Source organism: Homo sapiens, chromosome 22, assembly GCF_000001405.40.
Source record: "Homo sapiens chromosome 22, GRCh38.p14 Primary Assembly".
Lineage (NCBI taxonomy): Eukaryota > Metazoa > Chordata > Mammalia > Primates > Hominidae > Homo > Homo sapiens.
In genome coordinates this window covers 35,023,349-35,025,463 of record NC_000022.11, presented here as the reverse complement: position 1 = coordinate 35,025,463, position 2,115 = coordinate 35,023,349, and the positions used below count along the sequence as shown (strand labels likewise).

Genomic DNA, 2,115 nt, shown 5'->3' with positions numbered 1-2,115 from the left:
CATTCTATAAAGACACATGCACACATATGTTTATTGCAGCACTATTCACGATAGCAAAGACTTGGAACCAACCCAAATGCCCATCAATAACAGACTAGATAAAGAAAATGTGGCACATATACACCATGGTATACTATGCAGTCATAAAAAAGGATGAGTTCATGTCCTTTGCAGGGACGTGGATGAAGCTGGAAACCATCATTCTCAGCAAACTCACACAGGAACAGAAAACCAAACACTGCATGTTCTCACGCATAGGTGGGAGCTGAACAGTGAGAACACATGGACACAGGGAGGGGAACATCACACCTGGGGACCTGTTGGGGAGTGGGGCTGGGCGGGGGACAGCATTAGGAGAAATACCTAATGTAGATGACAGGTTGATGGGTGCAGCAAACCATGGCACATGTATCCCTATGTAACAAACCTGCACGTTCTGCACATGCATCCCAGAACTTAAAGTATAATAATAATAAAAAAATTTACTAAGTTTACTCCCCCTTCCTGCTTTGTCTTCTCTTTAGCCAACCTTCCAACCTTTTTTTTTTTTTTTTTTGAGACGGAGTCTCGCTCTGTCACCCAGGCTGGAGTATAGTGGCGCAATCTTGGCTCACTGCAAGCTCTGCCTCCCGGGTTCACACCATTCTCCTGCCTCAACCTCCCGAGTAGCTGGGACTACAGGTGCCTGCCACCACGTCCGGCTAATTTTTTGTATTTTTAGTAGAGACGGGGTTTCACCGTGTTAGCCACGATGGTCTCGATCTCCTGACGTCGTGATCCGCCCCCCTCGGCCTCCCAAAGTGCTAGGATTACAGGCTTGAGCCACCGCGCCCGGCCCCTTTCAACGTTTTTGTCAAGGGAGAAGGCAGGCCCTAGCCCCAAGGCTCTGCGCTCCTTCTAACCCCACTGGGGCTGGAATGCCCCCCGCCCCAACGTGTGGCACCAGGAGTGGGGGGCACAGCTCTGCGACCTGTGCCTGTACCCCCTCCTCCTGCCCCACTCTGAAGCTGTCTGTGCTTTTTCGAGCCATCACCTAGGCTCTGCCTTCCTCCCCTCACCTCTTTCTCGCTTGCTCCCGCGCGCTCTCTCCACTTAGTGGTTCATTTACTGCTCAATCTGTGATTAATTAAAACAATTTAAATAACTGTGCTGACGCTAAATTCATTTCCAGCCACCTCCGCCGCGCAGGGCTGCGTGAGCACAGGAGAGCCGCGGTGCGGGCTCGCGCTGACCGCCAGGGGGAGCTGTGGTCTCAGGTTTGACTGGAAGCTTGGCGTCGGATGGCGGGGTTGGGTGCAGGAAAAAGGTTAAAACATGCAAGTTCTCCCCTCCCGCCCACTTTGCCTTCTTCCACCTGGGATTCTACCGTGTCCGTGCCCTCGCAGTCCCCAAAGATTCGCTGGGTTAATCCAGAATAAAAAATGTCAGGGAAGCAAACTCCTTTCTCCTGCCTGAGGTCAGCCCCAGGATATTCCCAGAACACCTGGGGCCCGGGGACCAGGAAGGTCATGCTTGCAGGAGGGGAAACACAGGCACAGACTGTGAGAAAGGAAGACCTGCCCATGGCCTCCCTTGGTGGGGGAAGGGTAGATCCTAAATTCAATGACTGGTGTCCTTATAAGAGGAGGGGACACAGAGAGACACATATACTGTGTCAAGGGCCGGGCGCAGTAGCTTACGCCTATAATCCCAACATTTTGGGACGCAGAGGCAGGTGGATCACCTGAGGTCAGGAGTTTGAGACCAGCCTGGCCAACATGGTGAAACCCCGTCTCTACTCAAAATACAAAACATTAGCTGGGCATGGTGGCAGGCGCCTGTAATTCCAGCTACTTGGGAGGCTGAGGCAGGAGAATTGCTTGAACCCAGGTGGCAGAGGTTGCAGTGAGCCAAGATTGCACCATTGCACTCTAGTCTGGGCGACAGAGCAAGACTCTGTTTCAAAAAAAAAAAAAAATGCCATGTGAAGATGGGGCAGTGATTGGTGTGATGCTGCCATGAGCAAGGGAACCCAAAAACTGGAAGAGACAAGGAAAGATCCTTCCCTGATCCTTCAGAGGGAGCGTGGCCCTGCCAACACCTCAATTTCAGGCTGCTAGCCTCCAGAACTGTGAG

At 52.2% G+C, this 2,115-nt stretch overlaps 1 annotated feature.

Moving 5' to 3' along the window:
- Positions 968–1,558: an enhancer, noted in NCBI's record as "H3K4me1 hESC enhancer chr22:35419897-35420488 (GRCh37/hg19 assembly coordinates)". NCBI's record gives its function as "activates a minimal SCP1, AML or CMV promoter by ChIP-STARR-seq in primed H9 embryonic stem cells {active_cell/tissue: H9 hESC(primed)}" and the evidence as "EXISTENCE:reporter gene assay evidence [ECO:0000049][PMID:30033119]".